Below are 20,726 nucleotides of genomic sequence, written 5' to 3'. Positions count from 1 at the left end.
TAAGAAGGAAAACTTAACCAGATGGCATCTGCTGGGGCTTTTTTGGGAGTCATTTACAGTTACAGATCCTTGAGCAAAGCCCATTTGATAGATGGCATGGCCATGTAGAGGCTGGGGCTTGTAGTGACTTCTCCCTGGGAACTACTTGAACTGGACTGGCTACGAGGATGGAAAGTTGGGGATGATGGTCATCGGGGGTGACTCTTAAATGGTCTTTATCTTGTGGCTGGAGTGTGTGGTGAGTTCACTCCTTAGTGAAGGCAAGAGTGTGAGAGAAAGCTGGAAGGCTGGCGAGAGGGAGGGGAGATGGATAGAAAGATGAACCAAAGAACCTATTTCCTTTTGAACTTGGAAAGTGCATGGTCTCTCTGAAACTAAGGAGGAAATATTAATAAAGCTACTGGTAATGAATTTTCTCCCTTAGTTGAGCGTCAGTCACAGAAGACTTGTATTGTTTGTTTAGGAACTTAGTACAAACTCAAAATGTTTTGAAGCCTTAGGTATTTTCATTTCCTTTTATGTTAGTTGGGCCTTATGTTGCATGGTGATCAGTGCCAAGGATGGTGGGAAGACAGCTACACACCATGGAAAAGATCTGTTCCCCAAGCCTTGCCCAGCATTCACAGGAGATCTTTTTTCTAGTTATGTGTTTTCCAAATAAGGCTCTCTGGGAAAACCTAGAGTTTCATTACGTAGCAACTCAGCGTGTGTATGTGTGTGTGTGCAGATGACACCTGTGTTAAACATCAACCAACCACTAAGCGTAGATCTTGGTTTCTGCTGAGTATTTGGATTCTGCACATGAAGTGCTCTGTTTTCCTGGAAAGGGTTGGTCCTGCATGATGGCACGTTGGTATTGGTCAATCACACCTCATCTCTTCTGGTTCTAGGAAGGAGTGAGGAACATGAAATGCTCCTTCTCATTCTGAATTGCCATGTGGTCTCTTCAAAGAATATCATTGAATGTATTCACCCTTTGAAGAGGGCACACATTTTAAAGGATCAGAACTGTATTGGAAACCCAGAGTCCTGGCCTTGGGTCTTGGCTCTGCCTCATACTAGCTGCAAAAAGTTGGATTTCACGTTCCTCACCTATAAAATAAGGGAATTTGAAAAGTTGACATCAAATGTCCCGTCTCATGACAAATTATCTAATTCTGTATAACCTAAATTGAACTGTGGTGACATAAATTAATGGTAAACTCACTGGAAGACTATAGAAATGTGAGTTCCTATGGTACTCAGAATTAATCACTGGGCAATTTAAAACTATTGTTAAACTCCCAGGGAGCACCTGTTTTTGGTCCAGAAGAAAAGATGTGGAGTGACATCTTTTTTTCACCCTGGAACTTACATTTTCTTTTTAAATCATATATATTTCGATTAAATTTTATTCAGCCCAATCTGAACATTTATTTTTAATCTCAAACACTTATTACTCTTTACAAACCCATTTGGTTAGATATTATTTTCAGGTTGTACACAATGAATTTCTCATTTCTGTTTGTGATTATAACAATTCAAATATCAATTATAATTTATTGTGTTAATAAAAATGTAAGTAATGATGAAATTTATTGTCCCAAAAAACTATTATATGAAGCTTTTTAAAAGGGAAAAATGTAATATAATTAAGAGTGTTTTCTTATGACTATGGAAGATAGTCAAAGATTGCATATTTTTTTCTTTCTTTCCAGCAAATAGTGTTTATCTATAGACACAGAGGAATAGTGCTACCAGCATTCAAGTTTTTGATAACAGTATTTTCCACATTTAGTGTGATGCAAGACACAAAGGGGGAACTTAATAACTTTTTATTGAATAAATGAATAAATTAGTGGATAGATGGTGTCCACTTGAAGTCCCCTGTGGAAAATAGATAAGACCCTTCCTTAAATGCTAAAGAGAGTTTTTAGTTATTTCATAGTAATCTCTATAAAACACTTTAAGTTATATGAAGTCTTTGTTCTAACATTATCTCTATAGTGACAATTTAGTATTATACTAGGCTCTTTTACAATTTGGGGACATTTACTTAAGCAGTAATAAAAAATATGTAAACAAATATGGATATGGTGTCATTTCCAAGACATGAATCCTAAAGATGATATTAGAACAAAGTTCCAGCATCTGTACAAAGTACTATTCATTCAAAAAAATATTTTTTTGTCCTCGCGCAGTGGTTCATGCCTGTAATCCCAGCACTTTGGAAGGCCAAGGTGGGAGGATTGTTTGAGGCCAGGAGTTATGAACTGTTCATTTATTCCATCTTAATGTTTAAAAGAAAATAACAAATCCTTCCATTATAGCTTTTCATTGATTTTTGTTAGAATTATATTGGGCAAACAGTTCAAATGCATCCTTAAATAATTATTCAATATGCATAGAGAGCAGAAATTAAAATGTTTTCTGTCATCTTCATGGTCCCATTAAACTGAACAGTAGCTTAGCCTGTCTGTGCCAATTTGCAGCAAATCTATATTATTCTGAGAAAACAGACTGCATTTTAATAACCTTATATTTCCTTTGCCATATAGCTTTTGCTCTCTGGTGCAAAATCTTTTCCCACTAAGCAGATATCTGTGGCAAGATTTTGCCACAGATATCTGCTTCTTAGCTATGCACTTAGTATTTTAATAGATGTGGAATCATGGGGTATGCAAACCTGGTGCCAGATATGGTCCTGCTGAAAACAGATTTGCTCAGTGATTCAAGAGTGGGTAGAGTTAATGGATGCATAAACCATCCCCAAAAGTTCATTTCTTCTGACAGACAGGAAATCTACCTGCAGGAATAACATCAGCCTGGACAACTGGTAGCTCAGTGACTCTCCAGAGCATTAGTTGAGGCTGAAAGAACAAAGAGGAAGGAAAATGGTATACTTCCCCCCTTTTAAAATATGCTATTGCACTCATTTAAACTTGGATTAAAATTATTTTTATAAAAAGGAATTGTAATTTACAAATTGCCTTACTATTCAAAATATATTAAAAGTCACAGAATCTGTATGTACATAAACTTCTGTATAGTTGAGCATCTAAGGGCAAAGGTAGTTTTGATTTGTCTTAGGGCTACTGGAATTGAATCCAGAGATCAGCCTCACCCTGGTACCCTACCACAGCTCAGATGATAGTTCACTAACAATTCTAGTCTTCTTCTAGAAACTTTGCTGCTTTTGTTATTGCCATATCCATAGCTCTGTGGCAGTGCCTTCAACATGGTAGACACATATCTCTCAATAATCTCTTAAATGAATGAATTTGAGGATTCTTAACAGGGCTTGTTTGAACTGGTATGTTTTTATGAGTTAGGATTGCAAGAGCAGGAATTAAGCTTTATGTCATTGTAATGTTAGGGAATGACATGTATTTACATGTGTCTTCTTCCTGGAGTGATTGTTTCTAGTTTTTAGCTCACTGAGGTTCCTGTGGAAAATGAGGGCAGGGAGAAAGCTGGTTGCCGGCCCATGCATCACACTCAACACATTCTAGATGATGATTAGGAAAATGTACTCTGGAAAAATAGAGGATATTGTAAGATCTTTTTAACAATTTTCTATAGAGTTTTCCAACCATGGTATATATTGAAAATACATTGTTGGTATTTATTCTTAATATTGTATGCTTAATTCCAAGGTTTCTCTAAAAGTACTGTGGTTTCCCAATCCTTAAGGTTTAAGACGTTTCTAACAAGTCTTCCATGACCTAGTCTCCTCCTACCCCTCCAGCTTCACATGTTTTTCTTCTGGTTGACTTTGCTGGAGTCACATTGAGACTCAATAGGATAGCACATTTAAGCTCCTTCCCACTCCAGGGCTTCTGCATATATTGCATGTTGTTCTACCTGGAACCCTATGATTAACCTGCTGATCCATCCCATATCTGAGTTTTAAAATGACTCTTCATTAAAGATGTCCCTAAGCCTCACCCTGTTCTCCCTGAGTGTTTCCCTGATTGTAAACAGACAATTAATTAGACAGCTAATTGTTTCTTTTGACATGTGAGTTTCCTGAAGCAGGTGTCTGGATAGTTCCCTTCTGAATTCACAGGGCTTTTCCAGAGGGTGTGGCCAACAGTAGATGCTCAATAAATATTTGCCAAAGCCATAAATGTTGAATGAATCATCCAAAGTTCAGTAGTATTTTTTTTCTTTTTGTCTCTTTAGCTGGGAAGTTATCAATTCCAAACCAGATGAAAGACCCAGGCTCAGCCACTGTATTGCAGAATCATGGATGAATTTCAGCATATTTCTTCAAGAAATGTCTCTTTTTAAACAGCAGAGCCCTGGCAAGGCAAGTTTTCCAGTAAAGGAGTATGTTTTAAAATGTTCAGTTACTTGGAAACAAATGAACTAACCTATTTTATCAGCTTGTCAGATTTCTCCAATTTTAAATATAATATACTAAGAACATATGCCATAAAAGCTGGTATCAGCAAGGTTCAGATGTGTGAGTGTGCGAACACTAGATAATCCTCAGCCTCACATTGTGAAATTGGATTGGTTTTACATTTTATATATATTTATCTAGCTCATTAGCTAAAATGAATGGTGATTGGTCTTATCAGCAAGACTAGGGAGAAAACAGTCTTAAGAATTTCAGTTATCGTATTTAGCCTGGTGCTGAAGTCAAAGGGAGATGAAATGAATACATAGTTCTTTGACTGTGCTTTTGGAGATAACTGAATCTTATTTTCAAGCTAAAAAGTGGAGATTCTTGTATGATTTACTTATTTAAGAAAGAAAACTTTTGGCAAAAACATTCATAGTGATTATATAAACAAAATGAGTATTTTTCCAATTAAGATAAAACCCATGAGGGGGAAGTGTCTTACATGGTTGGGAAGGGATTACATGGAGTGCTGCACATACTTGTATTATTTTATGCATAAAGGCAGCTTTAATTCTGATCAACTGTCTTGATAGCTTGGGTGAGGTGCAGAACCATCAATAGACCTTGTCTATTCCAGTGTTGCTTTCAAGCTCCTTGAATATCCACCCGTGGATAGAATGAAGAGCTAGGAATGTCAGCATTGAAAATCTCTGTCTTTGTACCTTGTATAGGCAATATCGTAACTTCAATAGTATTAAATAATAGAACTATGCTTGGAGACATTTTGAGTGTATTAAAGTGGCAGTATTGCATTTGGATGCATTTTTTTTATTCATTGAAGGCATTTTTTTTTTTTTAGCATAGATACCTATATTTGGGGCATGATGTGCTGTTGATGTTGATTTTACTGAAGTGATTAAATGTATTTTTGGAAGATTCTAAACTTCAAACTTCTGCATTGGGTTGCATTAATGTGCCCCAAGTCAATTAGCTTAAAATGATGATGCTACAAATGTAGGGCATATTATGAAATCCCTTTGTAAAACTAAATTCTGGATATAGTAATGCTTTTCTTGGCTTATTTGTTCCTTTGACTTTTATGGCCTTTCCATTTCATTTATAGAATTCCAGATTCTTTCAAGGGCCCTTGCTGTTTTAGAAACAGCTCTTAATTTTGTTCCACAAGTCATCTAATCTACTTTTGACTAGTTAATTTATTAACTCTGTACCGAAGAATGAAAAATCAAAATTAAACTTAGATTTAGACCCCTTTGCTCTTTATCATCATCAGTTATTGGTCAGAGGTATGTATTCCTTCCTCCTGTATCTTTTAGAAACTCCCTTAATGAATTTCCTTTGCTTGCTTATCAGTTTAATTTACTATCACTGTTTAAAGATGACGAAAAATGTAAGACAGTTTAAGACTGGAGGGTGAAAAATCAGGTGAAGACTTTATGGTAACATTTTTCTGCCTTGATGTTTCTAAAGGGAATTAAGGATATTTTCTGATGTTTTTAAATTTCTTAAAACAATCAAGATTTTTTAACCATAAATGACAGAAGGAAAATAAACATGTCACTGTAGGAGTTTCATTTCAATGGCAGTTTTTTTCTAGGTGACTTAGAAGTGGGGTCAGTTTGAGCAGTATATATGGTTAGGAAAGAGGATAGTGATGGCCATAAATTTATCCTGTCAGCTTAGCAGCTATAAATTACATTAGATTTGTGTAAATTACGTTAGATTTGTGTAGATACCTCTAATTTCTGTAACTTGTTTTGCTGTGTTTTTATGAATTTCAGTGGGCTTATAGTGGTAGTTTGAACTTTCAGATGTAGTTATCAGGCCGCATTAATTTCCTTAAATGAGCGAAGTAAAAGAAGTTTCTGGGAACATAATAGTTTTCTGTTCTCTTGCACCTGGCAGTAATATAGCCACAGGCATGAGTAATGGGAGTTGTCACTCTCTGTGCCAGAAATTAGCTCCTGTGTCCTCAAAATAATTATTACCAAGTGTTGAAATGGACTAAGACTGGTTGAATGCAGCAGTCATTAGTCAGCCCTTAGTGCAAAATAATGCTCTTTGGAAAAAATCTGTAATAACCAGATAGGTCACTTATACCGGTCACTATAGATTTACAATTGTGTGTGTATCCTGTGCTCCGAAATATCTTGGTGTTATGCTTAACTATCCCATGTTATTTCTATTATTTCCAGTTTTGTCTCCTGGTCTGTAGTGTGTGCACATTTTTTACGATCTTGGGAAGTTACATTCCTGGGGTTATACTCAGCTATCTACTGTGTAAGTATAGTAGAACATATGGCTAAGTGTTGTGATGCATATGGTATCACCTTACGGTCAACAGACCTGTAGTTTGAAGAGGGGGGATGAGTTCTTAACTATAATACAAGTTGATTATTCTTTAATCTCCTGCTGTACAAAGTTTCTCCATTTTCCTAGAGACATGTCTCTATTTTAAAATTGGAAGAATAGCTGCAAAAGGCAGAATTATAAGTGAATAATTTTATGTTAAATTTTGTCAGTAAAAGTATACATAAAGCTGTATGCCCCACCTCCCAAAAACACACCAACACCTTTGCCTTCGTGCGTGTTCTTTGGCTCAAAAAAATAATTAAAACCACAATGAAATACCATTGCATCCCTACCAGAATGGCTAAAATTAAAAATACTGACCACATCAAGTATTAGGAGGGATGCAGAGCAAGTGGAATTCTCACATACTGTTGCGGGGTAGGTAGAATGTTAAAATCACTTTGGATAACAGTTTGGCAGTTTCTTAAAAACTACTACATGACAAAGCTATCCCACAACTAGGTACTTACCCAAAAGAAATGAAAGTACAAAGACATAAATGTTCATAACAGATTTATATGTAGTAGCCAAAAGCAGAATATAATCCATACATCCATCAATTGGAGGAATGGGTAAGCAAACTGTGGTATATCCATATAATGGATTACTACTTAGCACTAAAAATGGATACATACAACACTAAAGATAAATCTCAAAATAATTAGACTGAGTAGACAAAACCAGATGAAAAAGTGTGATTCCATTTATATATTATTCCAGAAAATTCAAACAATCTTTAGTGACAAAGCAGGTCAGTGGTTGCCTGGGGATGAGGTGGGTGGGGGCAGGGAGAAGAGGCAGGAGACTGGAAGGAAGGTTGAATAAAACCATGAGAAAACTTCATGTCTACTGGTAGACATGTTCACTATCTTGATTATGGTGATGGCTTCTTAGTTGTATGCATATGTCAAAATTTATCAAATTGTACACTTTAAATACATGTATTTTATTATACATCAATGACCACCCAAAAATGTTATTAAAAAGTATGGATTTTCTTCACCTGAAAACTATGATCTGGCACTGCTACCTTTCGATGGGGCAGGCACTCTCCACTTAACATACCCCCATATTTTCCAATTTTTCTTACAATGGACTTTAAAATTTACATACAATTTCTTGGCCTCTAGAGACATTTGAGTTTGTAGCTCTTATTTTAAAATATAATACGGGACACTTCCTAAAACGAACAAAGAAATAAATATTGGGAATACAATACTTAGAGTGTGGCAATCTTTGCTTCTTTTTGTATTCTTAATGCATAATGCAAATGGCAAATGGTCAGAGCTCAAATCCATTCTCCCCAAAAGAAGTCATATATAACATCAGCCTCATGATGACATTGTTTAGGAGGTAAAGGAGAAGAGGACTGGGGAATGAAAGAATAATTTGGGCAAGGCATTATTCAGATGGTTTGCATTGATTTCATTTATGCTTCACAACAACCCCAAGAAATAATGTTACTATCCTAATATTATTGATGAGAGGCTAATAACTTTCCCATGGTGAAATGGCATTGAATAAACACAGTTAAACCAGGACTGTTGTCTGGAAGGCATGTAATTTTTCTATAAATTTTGAGAATAAAAGGATTGAAAGGAGGGAGTTGATCTAACTGCACCTGGAAACAATGACTGTGAGCATTGTGTAAGTGTGGGTATGCATGTGTGTGTTTGTGGGTGGTGGTAGAAAATGTTTACCTTACAGAAAAAGAATAGAAATTATAAACTTGTGTAAGTGTGGGATGCATGTGTGTGTTTGTGGGTGGTGGCAGAAAATGTTTACCTTACAGAAAAAGAATAGAAATTATAAACTTATTTCACAATGGCATTTCCCTTAAAAAAACTTAAGTTTTTCAGTAAAGAAATGTAGTATTTTGTGAAATACTGAAATGTACGTAGCCTTTTGAAAGGAAAGGCATTTTACCTCTGCTCTCTTTCTTCTTTCAGTACTGTGTGCATTTTTGTGTCCATTGTTTAAATGTAATGATATTGGACAAAAAATTTACAGCAAAATTAAGTCAGTTCTGCTGAAACTGGATTTTGGAATTGGAGAATATATTAATCAGAAGAAACGTGAGAGATCTGGTAGGTAAAGTTTATATTTTAGATTCTATGCATGAAATGAGACATTAGCGAGCTATTTTTAGGAAATTCTTTAATACATTTGAGGATACTTTTAGCTTTTTACTAAATATTATTATAGAAGCTAATCTCCCTCAAAGTTATATATATCCTTTTCCTATTTGGGCTTTCCTTCTTTTCTCAAATATACAATTAAATAAATTGACTTTTTAATCCACAGTGTCAGGGGAGAAAGAAAAGGCTTCAACACTCTTTATTGTGCTACTTATGATTTACTTAGTTTTATTTTGGGTTGGACTATCACAAAGAAAAAGAAAATACAGGAAAAGCCAATATAATCATCTCTTACTTTTTAACTTGGCTTATGACCTTATAGGTTCTCAAACTAGAATGTATCGGAGTCACGTGGAGGGCTTATTAAAGGACAGATTGCTAGGCCCCAGCCCAGAGTTTCTGATTCAGTAGGTCTAGGGTAGGGCCTGAGAATCTGCATTTCTAAAAAGTTCCCAGGGAGGATGCTTTTGCTGTTTCAGGGACAATATTAAGAGAGCCACTAATGTGGATCATTTCCTTTGCAAATATGTGAAGCTTGTTATGTGCAAACATTTAATTATATTTGTAGTTAAGAATATGAGAAATATATATTTGTATTTGGAGAATATGAGAAATGTGGGGTAAGAATACATAATGAAATAAATGCACTATGTCTGAGTTGGCTAGGAAACTGAAAGCTTCCAAATTTTTTCCTCAACAGAAGCAGACAAAGAAAAAAGTCACAAAGATGACAGTGAATTAGACTTTTCAGCTCTTTGTCCTAAGGTATTTTTTGTTTAGTTTTCAATTTGTTCCTGTGTGGTTTGACTGTAAATGCATGTATGCATACAAAGCTGAATGATCTTCCTAATAAACTCCTCATATTTCTGTAAGATGACTGAATGATTTCAAAATAAAAATATCCATTTGGTTTTTATTACTCTGTCATTTTGGGGGTTCATATGGATTTTTCAAAATATTCCCTTCAGCAGTTTAAAATGTGCCGCTGGTATTTATTTATATTAACACAGATTAGCCTCACGGTTGCTGCCAAAGAGTTATCTGTGTCTGACACAGACGTCTCAGAGGTATCCTGGACTGATAATGGGACCTTCAACCTTTCAGAAGGATACACTCCACAGACAGACACTTCTGATGGTATGCTAATATTTCTGGAGACATTTATTTTTATGAGTGCATACAAAACTATTGAACTTCTGTCAAATACTGAATGGGTAAATAACATGTTACCACCATATCTACACAGTAGAATATTACTTGGCTATAAAAATGAAGTCCTGATACTTGCTACAACATGGATGAACCTTGAAAACATGCTAAGAAGCCAGACACAAAATGCCACATACTGTGTAATTCCATTTATATGAAATGCCTAGAATAAGCAGGTCCATATAAAGGGAAATTAAGTTAGTGGCTGCTATGGACTGATGGAGGGAATAGTGAGTGACTGTTAATTGGTATGCATTTCTTTTTGGAGTGATGAAAGTGTCCTAGAATTAGATAGTGATGCTGCTTGTACAGCTTTATGAATATACTAAAAAACACTGAATTGTATACCTTAGAAGGGTGTTTTTTTGGTGCATGAATTATCAAAAGCTGTTTTTTAAAAAGTATGAGGAAAATAAATCAGTCAATGTCCAAATTTGCCTTTATTTTGAAAACAAAATAATCAAAAATTAGAAAAATTACCTCCTGAAATGTCTTTGAAATGTCCCAAGCGATAATGTGGGAGAGAAAGATAGACGCTAATCCTACACATTTAGGCCTAGTCCTCATTAAAAGGGGCTGAAGTATGGACGTCAAGTTCCCTGAGTCCAAAGCTGACTCCGGAGTTTCTCACATTTGTCTTCAAAGTTAAAAAAGCTTTTTATTTTTATTTTTTTTGTTTCTGACTTTTAAGTTCAGGGGTACATGTGCAGGATGTGCAAGTCTGTTACATAGGTCAACATGTGCCATGGTGGTTTGCATCCCATCACCTAGGTATTAAGCCCAGCATCGATTAGCTATTTTTCTTGATGCTCTCCCTCCTCCCACCCCCAACCCTATTGACAGGCCCCAGTGTGTGCTGTTCCCCACCATTGTGTCTATGTGTTCTCATTATTCAGCTTCCACTTACAGGTGAGAACAGGCAGTGTGTTTGGTTTTCTGTTCCTGTGTTAGTTTGCCGAGGATAATGGCTTCCAGCTCCATCCATGTCCTTGCAAAGGACATGATCTCGTTCCTTTTTATGGCTGCATAGTATTCCATGGTGTATGTGTACCACATTTTCTTTATCCAGTATATTCTTTGTTTATAATAAGTACAATTAAAAACAGGAAAGCACAGTATTCTTTATAATGCAAATTATGTCCAAAACTTAAATTGAGAGTCAATGCTTGTACAGTAACTTAACTTTTGTTAGTCTCACTGGATTACCTTGTTTTGGCCATATACTGAACATATGAGCAGATTATAAAGGAGGAGGGTGAATGAACTATTTTACACTTATGTTCCAAAAGGACATTTTCTGTTTTTAAAGGAAGGAGGGAGGGAGGCTGTGCAGTGTTTGAAAGAAGATGGGTTTGGAAGGTGGAAGACCCAAGTGGAGTCTTGCCTTTGTCACTACCTAACTTTATGACCTTGAACGGGTGACATAATTTTTGTGGATCTCAATTTCCTCACCTTTAAATTAGAACAGGAGCATTGCTGAAGGTCATTCAAGCTCTACAAGCTTTCAGTACCTACAATTTGAGGTCATATTTTAAAGAACAAGAATAACAAGTACCTTGTTCTTAAGCATCCCATCTCAGATTCAACAAAAGAGACAATAATAATCCAAGCCACATACAAGGCTTTTCATTAATTGAAGATTTCAAATCACTGTTGCAGGGAGTTAACTGTTATATTAAAAGATTTTATATGAAAGGTAAAAACAATAAAATCTATTAGCCTTCTAATGTGACATTGCTTTCAAATGTCCTAAATCTTGGTATGGTCAGTTTCAGCTATAGTTATAGAGAGCCAAATGTTTCCATAAACTCTTGGGTTATATGGAATAGAAGGAGCAGTATCTTCCTTTCATTGCTTAAAACAAACACAGATTACAGGCACTGAAATAGATCTCTATGTATGAAAATGCTGAGGCTGGATAATATTAACCAAAACCCAAGGAAACTTATTATAGTATTTTAAATTTCATGTACATGTGTACTCATTGGCTTAAGATAATTCCCACCCTAGGCGCAGGATGGGGAATTTTTATAGTAAATGCTTAAACTTTAGTCAAAACCTCAAGCTAATATCAGACAAAGGTGAATGTTAAGTCAGTAAATACACTGTTTTGTGCTTAAGAGGAAAGCTAAATATGGAGAGGGATGTGTAGTATTTGTGTCCCTGTGGAGAAAGAGTGTTGCAGGATTAGGAGGAGTTCAGTATGTGGTTAAATTGATTCAAGTTGACCCAGGAGGCTAGATGAATGCCAAGGTTGCCAGAGGGTTCAGATTAAAGTCAGATATCTTTAGACAGCACTTTTATTTGAAATTTGTTATGGTGCTTCAGTCTGAACTTCTGTTATCCATTTCACAGATCTTGACCGACCCAGTGAGGAAGTTTTCTCTAGAGATCTTTCAGATTTTCCATCTCTAGAAAATGGCATGGGAACAAATGATGAAGATGAATTAAGCCTTGGTTTGCCCACTGAGCTCAAGAGAAAGAAGGAACAGTTGGACAGTGGTCACAGACCAAGCAAAGAGACGCAATCAGCAGCTGGTCTCACCCTTCCTCTGAACAGTGACCAAACCTTTCACCTGATGAGCAACCTGGCTGGGGATGTTATCACAGCTGCAGTGACTGCAGCTATCAAAGACCAGTTAGAGGGTGTGCAGCAAGCACTTTCTCAGGCTGCCCCCATCCCAGAAGAGGACACAGACACTGAAGAAGGTGATGACTTTGAACTACTTGACCAGTCAGAGCTGGATCAAATTGAGAGTGAATTGGGACTTACACAAGACCAGGAAGCAGAAGCACAGCAAAATAAGAAGTCTTCAGGTTTCCTTTCAAATCTGCTGGGAGGCCATTAATCTAGGAATCAGCTTGCAACAGAGCACAAAAAACACCAAAAAAATTTCAAACAAGAAAAAAAAAAAAAAAAGGAAAAGAAAAAAATTGAACTGTAAGCTTTAATGATTACTTTAGATTTGTTTTATTTTCCCTCCTGCAGTGAATTAATTGGATATATATCAGCTGACACTGATAGATTGATATTTCTGATCGTTATTTTTGTGTAATAAGCATGGAAATGAACTTTATACACACCACTGTGTTGTCAGAGATAAATATTAGGGGTTGTTTTTAAAGCAAAAAGAAAAAAACAAAAACCAAACTATTAAAATCCTCCTATAAATATTCTTTTTCTTTACAGTTTTTCAAGCATGCAAAACAGTTTATTGTAACTTACTGAAAAATATTAACAATTAATTGTGAATACATGCTGTTACCAGCTTCCTTATTCCTAATACCTGGAAAATTTTTTTTTCAACGGATAGATTTTGATGTAAAAAAGACCGAAATTATCAAGGTATCTTAGTTGAAGGACTTGGGAAATACTATCAAAATTAATTTCTTAGGAAAAAATTTAAAAGTATATTTAAGTACTCTGGATAGACTGAAACGTTTCCATGTTATTTCTGCAGTTGTAGACTTAGGCTTATTTGTAAAGAAGCATGCTCCATTGACTGCCATCTCTAGTCTTGCAGTGGGTGGTATTAACCCATAGAAAGCAAGCAGTTGTGTATCACATAGACAATGGTTATGATGTAAACAGATTCAGTTGTTTTGTTGTTCATTCGTCATATGTTTGTGATAGGGATGTTGGGAGCACAGCTCTATTCTGCCTGCTCAGACTTAAGTTAGACCCTTATCTTTTATATTATGTCATGAAAAAAGTCTCCTAAAATTGTGAAACTAGTTCTTGATGAGTGATGTGATCATCAGCAATAAAGATATAATAACTCTGTTTTCTTAGCCTGTATAGAGGAGAGGAACTTGCTTGGCTTTAAAATATATTTATTTGCCATTTAAGTATAAATATGGAATCTGTTTCTTATTGGGAAGATAGAATATATATATTTTCCTTTAAACTTTTTAAGGTCACTTTTAAATAACCAAATTTGATTTATGGTTTTTAACAAAGGACTAAAGAGCTGAAACCAACCTAGTTTTGTTTTTGTGATATAAACTTTAAGTGTCGAGGGACCATGCCAGCAACTACCAAAAATCTCTTAAATCTTCAGGTACAGCTGGCATTTTGGCAGATGCATAGAGACATCTGAGACCCTCAGAAAGGAAGGATAATCCAAGAATATAGGAAATCTGTGTTCTCTTCCTTTCATTTTATCCCTTATATTTCTAAAGACTAATTATAAGTAATCTGACATTTTAATGTAGCTACTCTTATTTATTTTTTCTTTCTGAGGTATTAAAATATCTGGACTGAGTTTTGCCAAATGTTAAAGGGAGAAGAGTTACTGAAGACTTTGAACACTTGCTTTTTGTGATTGCTTATGTCATTAGTGCCTCATGACTGTGTTTGATGTCCTTTATTGATACAAAGTGAGCCTGTGCCTTCATTATCTTGCCCATTTTAATACAAATGGAAACCTGGTGTTTGAAAATCTCTGAACTGTGTGGGTTTTGGAGGAATATACCTGAATTTTATTCAATAACAGTTTCTGGACAGGAAGAAAAATACAGTTACATATTTATAAAATAGTCGTTATCAGTATTTTTTTATGTGTATGTTTCTTTCTTTAAAACAATATTCTTGGATATAAAGTAGAAAAGTTTAAAGGTCATTTCCATTTCTTCACTAAGGAGAAAAAAAGTTAAATAATCCAAGTAATTAAAGAATATAAGTCACTAGATGACCTTACAGGAAGACGAACTCAAGGGCTGATAATCTGTGGTGGTATGAACAATAAATCTAGAATAAAATGTTAATAACTACAAATTAAAAGGGGTGTGAGGATGGGAGGAAGTTGGTAGGGTAGAAAAATGTGCTATTACCACTATTGAGGAGACATGCCAGCTCTCTAGGGACAGCAGCATTATAACTATGTATGAATTTTAATATTATTTGTATATGACTGTATGACTACAAATTTACACAATACAATAATGGGACTTTCTCACAACTATTAATTCAAACAAACACAAGGATGTTGAAAGTTCTTGTTTGTGTATATGTGTGTTTTGGTGGTGGGGGGTCACTGTTTCTGGTTTTAAAAGATGAAGGAGCAGATACATTTCATATGATTGATCCAGTGTAGTAGAGGACTACATGTCCTTTACTATGAGAATATAAATAGCAATATTTCCCCAACATCTGAAAGAACTGATAATGAGTGGTTTGTAAAATCTAAGTGGACTGAAGTACTTAAAATGTGAACCATGGATATATATTTTTAAAACTGAAAGCTGTAGAGAAGTTCTGCTTACTTCCTTTAGAAAGTACTGAGCAAAATCACACAATGGCAATAGCATACATTGAGCATGTATTTTAATCTGAAGCAATAAAGCAGTGCTCAAGAAGCTGAAGCTCGCTTTGGAAGATCAATCCAGGCTTGAATATTCTCATTCTGAAATACCTTTGTTTTTTTCTTACCCTACATAGCTTCAAAAGGGATTTTTTTTTTTAAACTGCCTGCTTCCCGGTTTAATAAAATATTAGGAAAACTTTTATAAGGTTTTGTAATTGGCAAATATAGTCAACATATTTAGGCATCTCACTCTTATATATGAAATAAATGCAACTTTCTTCCATTTAAAAAAGTGGCAAATGCCAGCATGCCACTAATTTTAGTCAAGAAGCAAATCCACATTTAAGAAAAACGTGATTTTAACATTTATATTATGTTTATAATCTAGATGGGTATACTTCTTTACACTGCTCTAGCTGTGTTCATTGCAAGATAGGAAATTCTTCTGAAAACCTTTACTGAACTACTGTTGTCTTAGATCATTTGTGTCATGATGAAATTAGCCTCAGAGCTATATTTTTGTGTATTATTCCTCCATTTCCACTGTAGCATTTGTACTAAGAAAGATGTTGAAAATAAGAGTTCTGGTTCTCATGTTAATATTATGGCCCTGAGACACAGTGTCAAAGTCATACAACGTCCCCAAGCTCCATCCTGTTTCCCCAAACATTAAATAGGGAAGTTAATTCTTACCTTATCACACACGGATGTTTAGAGAATGAATGAAAAAAAGTATCTGAAGCACGTTGGGGGCAGGTGTGTGTGTGGAAAGGCTGCATAAAACCAAGATACTGATTTTTTCCTGCCTGTGTTTCAACTGAGCCATTCTTTTAAACATTAAAACAAAGGCTATCAACAAGGAACAGCTTACAAGAACCATAAGGTTCTTTTAATGGGTCTAGCACTGTATCAGCCTCACAGTGCAAGAAATCCTTGTGGAATTAATGGATGGAAGTGTTGCAAAAATGTCTACTATTTCAGTTGATTTTGTGGACCAAGCGTAAGGTTCTATAATAGTAATTTTTATGGTTATAACACCTACTAGCTATGGGACTCTGAGAAAATCACCTAATAACTCCATACCTATTTACCTCATCTACAAAATAAAAATGTAGTACCATTTACTTCACAGAGTGTTACAAGGATTAAGTGTCTTAAGGCTAGGGTTGGCAGACTATGGCCCATGGGCCAAATCTGGCCTGCTACCTGTTTTTGTAGGGGCTGCAAGCTAAGAACGATTTTTTACATCTTGAAGTAGTTGAAAAAAATCAGAAGACTATTTTGTGACATGAGAATAAATGAAAATCAATTTTCAGCATCTGTGAATAATGTTTAATTAGAACACAGCTAGGCTCATTTGTTTATGTATTGTCTATGGCTGCTTTTATGCTATAACAATGAAGCTGATTAGCTGTGACAGAGAACCCAGGCCTACAAAGCATATTTACTTTCTGGCCCTTTACAGGAAAAGTGTGCAAACTCTTGGTCTAAGACATAGAAAACAGGATCCTGTTTAACCCTCCTGACTCTACAGTTAAGTGGTATTAGGAACATTTTGCCAAAGAACAGGGTAGATAAATTGTCCAAGGTTACATAGCTAGTCAGGGAAAAAGCCAGCCTGACCCCAAAGCCTATTCTCTTTCTAATGTATCATACTAGTATATTGGTTTTGCTTTTTGATACATTAACAGCGATCATAATTTTAAATAGTTTAACAGAATTTCACTAAGTATTAAATACTGATTTTATTTTAGTTTTTTTCTTTTTTCAAAGACTGCAGAAACCAGTTGATCTATACTGTTTTAAATGCTGTGTAAACAGGCTTTGCTGTAAATTTCAATTCCTTATTAAATTAAGACAAGACTTTGCATATGTAGACAGCCAAAACAATTGGGGATTGAAAATCTCTCACAGGACTTAACGTTTTCATAAACACAGAATTCACAGAAACTGTAAACCATGTGATAAGTGTACATTAGTTTTTATATTTCAGTATTTGTTACCCCCACCAAAGGTTACCCTCAACCAACCCAATCCCCTTCATAGCCTTCCTTTTAAAAACCAAGGTGCCACTGCGATATAGGAATGTGAACAGCAGTAAACTTGTCACAGAGAATATTGTGATCAGCATACAAAATGACTTGAAGGCAACTTTATTAGCTTTTATTTTAAATTATGTAATTATCAAGGATGAATATCCCAAAGTCTTCCAAGACTGAAACAAGAACCATGTTACTGTGTGTACTGTCACTGTTACAGTGTGCACCATAACTCTAGTAGTTTAAGAATTACGTGAACTATTTTAAGGGCTATGTCATGACATACAGAAGGAATTATAATTTTCAATACTTTCAAATTAATTTTCTTTGTCATAGATGGTTGTATTAGTCCATCCTCACATTGCTATAAAGAAATACCTGAGACTGGGTAATTTATATGAGATTTAATTGGTTCAGGGTTCTGCAGGCTGTACAGAAGCATGGTGGCCTCTGCTTCTGGAGAGACCTCAGGGAGCTTTTACTCAAGGCAGAAGGCAAAGTGGGCGCAGGCAGTTCACATGCCAAAATCAGAGGCAAGAGAGAGCAAGGCAGGAGGTGATACACACTTTTAAACAACCACACCTTGAGAGAACTCACTGTCGCTGGAACAGCACCAAGGGGATGGTGCTGAGAAATTCACACCCATGATCCAATCACTCCCACCAGGCCCTGCTTCCAACACTGGGATTACATTTTGACATGAGATATAAGTGGGGACAACATCCAAACTATATCAGTGATCTTAGTTTAAATTCTTCAGAGTGATCAATTTGGTAATTTTTTTTGATAGCAGTACTGTCAGCAGAGGTTAGACACATTAAGAGTGCTGAGGATGTGCCGCAGAGATTTTACTCAACAGTCCCTTGCATTTACCAAGGAGGTATTGGCTGTAGACCTACTCTTTTTTTTTTTCTCCAATTAGTTCCAGATACTGCTGCTGGATTTACTCAAGGCCCACTTCTATTCCTGGTGCCATACAAGCTGAAACATTCTGTGACTCTCCATCAAATGAAGCATGAGCAGTAAACACAACAATCCAAGTCTTTTGCCAATGATATCGTGGCTCTCTCTAGTCTCATTTTCCCTTGTTTGTATCCTAAGCTTCATCCAACGTAGACACATTCTTCTTAAATATGTCCTTGATTTTCCTCCCTCCACAGTATTTCTTCTACCTGTTCCACCTCCCTTTCCACTTGCAGAGTCCTCAATCTTCTCCTTTAGGACCCATCTGAAATGTCTACTCCTTAATGAAAACTTTTCTGATCTCTCTAATGGCATGAGATTTCTCTATCCTAAATACTCATTAGCCCTTTCTTTATATTTCATTGTACTAGATCCAGCTATTTAACTGTAAATATTTTTTTATCATCCCTAAGAAGTAAAAAAAAAAAAAAAAAAAAAAAACTTCGTGAGGGTAGGAATGCCTTAATTTAGAACCAGTAGAATATTACAAAAAATACATAGCATGTGGGAGAGACTATGGGAGATACGAAAGCCAGGAAAGGAAAGATACAAATGGAATTTAAACTTTATCTTATGGGCATCAGACAACTATTCTTGAACAGAAAAAGTGACATATGAAAAAAATACTACAGGAAAATTACTGATTACCTGTATTTACTGTAGAGGGGGATATGGGGAAAGAGTAAGGTTATCTTGGAGACTGCAGAAGAACAGTACATTGGAAAATTAGTATGGCGGAGGAAACAATACCCCTTTAAAGAAGAAAAGTAAAGAAACTGGAGAGTTCAATGATGCTGAAATAGGAGGAACATGAAAATAGATTAGAGGAGGCAGGGAGGAAATAGTGACCTGAAGAACAGATGCTGGAAGAGCCATATAAGAATGATAATAGGCAAAAGTAAAACCAGAAGTTCTTTACTTTTATAGCCATCTTCTGCTTTACTTTTTAGGGAAGCTTGAAAATATACTCTGCTTTGCTTATTCCAGTTAACAACTAATACTAGCTACATTTCTCAAAGTGAGTATCCAGATGGCTCAGCTATTTTAAAAGATACTGATAATCTCAAAATAAGTTTTCAGAAATAAAAATCACCATCTGACTTAACTTTTGCACTGCAAAAGATTCGTTTAACAAATACTGAACAGTTGATCTGCTGGCACTGTTCTAGCATTAGGGTATACAACAAAGGAGTGCTTGCTGTCATGGAGCTTATGTTCTATCTAGACGCAGATGACTAACATGCAGTGTGACTAGACATCCTGGTTTGCCCAGGATTGAGGGATTTCCTGGGATGCAGGACTTCCAGTGCTAAGCCTGGGAAATCAGTGACAACAAATGCTAGTGGTAGCTGATCTCCCAATGATCCCCTAAAACCACCCTGCCCCCCACTTCCCACTTCCTGGTATTCATGCCCTTATGTTAACCCTTCTCACATTAAATAGGGCTGACCTGCAAAAGTAACAACACATTGTGGAAACGACTGTGTGACTTCCAATGCTAGGTCTATGAATTTCATGTGGCTCTCTGCTGCACTCAAGCAGCCCTATGGAGAGGCCTACTTGTCAAGGAACCAAAACCTCTTGCTATCAGCTATGTAAATGAACCATCTTTAAGGGAGACTCTCCAGCCACAGTCAAATACAGTCAGATCTTCAGATGATTTTAGCCCTGGACAGCATGTTCACTGCAACCTCTTAGGAGATCTTAGTCAGAACCACCCAGCTGAGTCACTCAAATACCTGACATACAGAAACTGAAATAAAGCTTGATGCTAAATTTGGGGGTAATTTAATACAGAGTAGTAGATAACTAATACAGTACTGGAGAAAAGTTATGCCTGGTAAGGACTTAGGAAGGTAGGCACTATTTTTGGTAAGTGGATTTGGATAAGCCTCTCTTACAAAGGCATTTGGGCAGAGATCCAAAAAATAAGGAAGCAAGCCAGCAAAAGGATGTTCCAAGCAGAAGAGTAATGGATTTCTGACTTTCTGACTTAGTACCAACTAAAGTGCTTGTTAGAAGAACATCAAATGTGTCATTGCGACTCAAGTAGGGTGAGCAGGGTAGAGAAGGGGGTGTGGCAGGACCTCAGAGGGAGGGGTAGAGCCTCGGAGAATAGAAAGTAAGGTGTTTGAATTTGATTGAGTCAAGGGAAGGCACTGGAAGGTTTTTTAAAGCGCCATCTTCTTTTGGTTTTCTCTTGGCAGCCTGGATTCTGAGCATGCAACATTCGACTCTAACAAGGCTGACTCTGGTTCAACCAGGCTGTGTGGATGAAATCTACGACCTCCCCAAGCATTTGAAGTTCATGTTTTCTTTTTCTTTTGAGATGGAATCTTGCTCTGTTGCCCAGGCTGGAGTGCAGTGGCGC

The 20,726-nt window shown here is 36.1% G+C and overlaps 1 protein-coding gene across 5 annotated transcripts in view, besides 3 other annotated features; it reads left to right on the top strand.

Annotated features, from left to right (window-relative positions):
* Window positions 1-14,584, top strand: part of RETREG1 (reticulophagy regulator 1) — a 143,945-nt gene extending 129,361 nt beyond the window's left edge. For all 5 annotated transcript variants that reach the window (NM_001034850.3, XM_011514053.4, XM_011514055.4 and 2 more), the window contains 6 exons: window positions 4,165-4,291; window positions 6,544-6,628; window positions 8,650-8,787; window positions 9,539-9,603; window positions 9,849-9,975; window positions 12,403-14,584. In NM_001034850.3, the coding sequence (NP_001030022.1) occupies window positions 4,165-4,291; window positions 6,544-6,628; window positions 8,650-8,787; window positions 9,539-9,603; window positions 9,849-9,975; window positions 12,403-12,896 (1,036 nt within the window). In that variant the 3' untranslated portion in view covers window positions 12,897-14,584. The remainder of the gene's footprint in view (window positions 1-4,164; window positions 4,292-6,543; window positions 6,629-8,649; window positions 8,788-9,538; window positions 9,604-9,848; window positions 9,976-12,402) is intronic.
* Window positions 19,998-20,087: an enhancer, noted in NCBI's record as "active region_22423". NCBI's record gives its function as "activates an Ori minimal core promoter by ATAC-STARR-seq in GM12878 lymphoblastoid cells {active_cell/tissue: GM12878}" and the evidence as "EXISTENCE:reporter gene assay evidence [ECO:0000049][PMID:35858748]".
* Window positions 20,118-20,177: an enhancer, noted in NCBI's record as "active region_22422". NCBI's record gives its function as "activates an Ori minimal core promoter by ATAC-STARR-seq in GM12878 lymphoblastoid cells {active_cell/tissue: GM12878}" and the evidence as "EXISTENCE:reporter gene assay evidence [ECO:0000049][PMID:35858748]".
* Window positions 20,430-20,652: a silencer, noted in NCBI's record as "fragment chr5:16467094-16467316 (GRCh37/hg19 assembly coordinates)". NCBI's record gives its function as "represses an EF-1alpha promoter that drives an FKBP-Casp9 reporter gene in an ReSE screen in phorbol 12-myristate 13-acetate-treated (for megakaryocytic differentiation) K562 erythroleukemia cells {active_cell/tissue: K562(+PMA)}" and the evidence as "EXISTENCE:reporter gene assay evidence [ECO:0000049][PMID:32094911]".

This window comes from Homo sapiens, chromosome 5 (genome assembly GCF_000001405.40).
Source record: "Homo sapiens chromosome 5, GRCh38.p14 Primary Assembly".
Classification (NCBI taxonomy): Eukaryota; Metazoa; Chordata; class Mammalia; order Primates; family Hominidae; genus Homo; species Homo sapiens.
The sequence above is the reverse complement of the archived record's forward strand: the minus strand, read 5'-3'. Positions and strand labels throughout refer to the sequence as shown.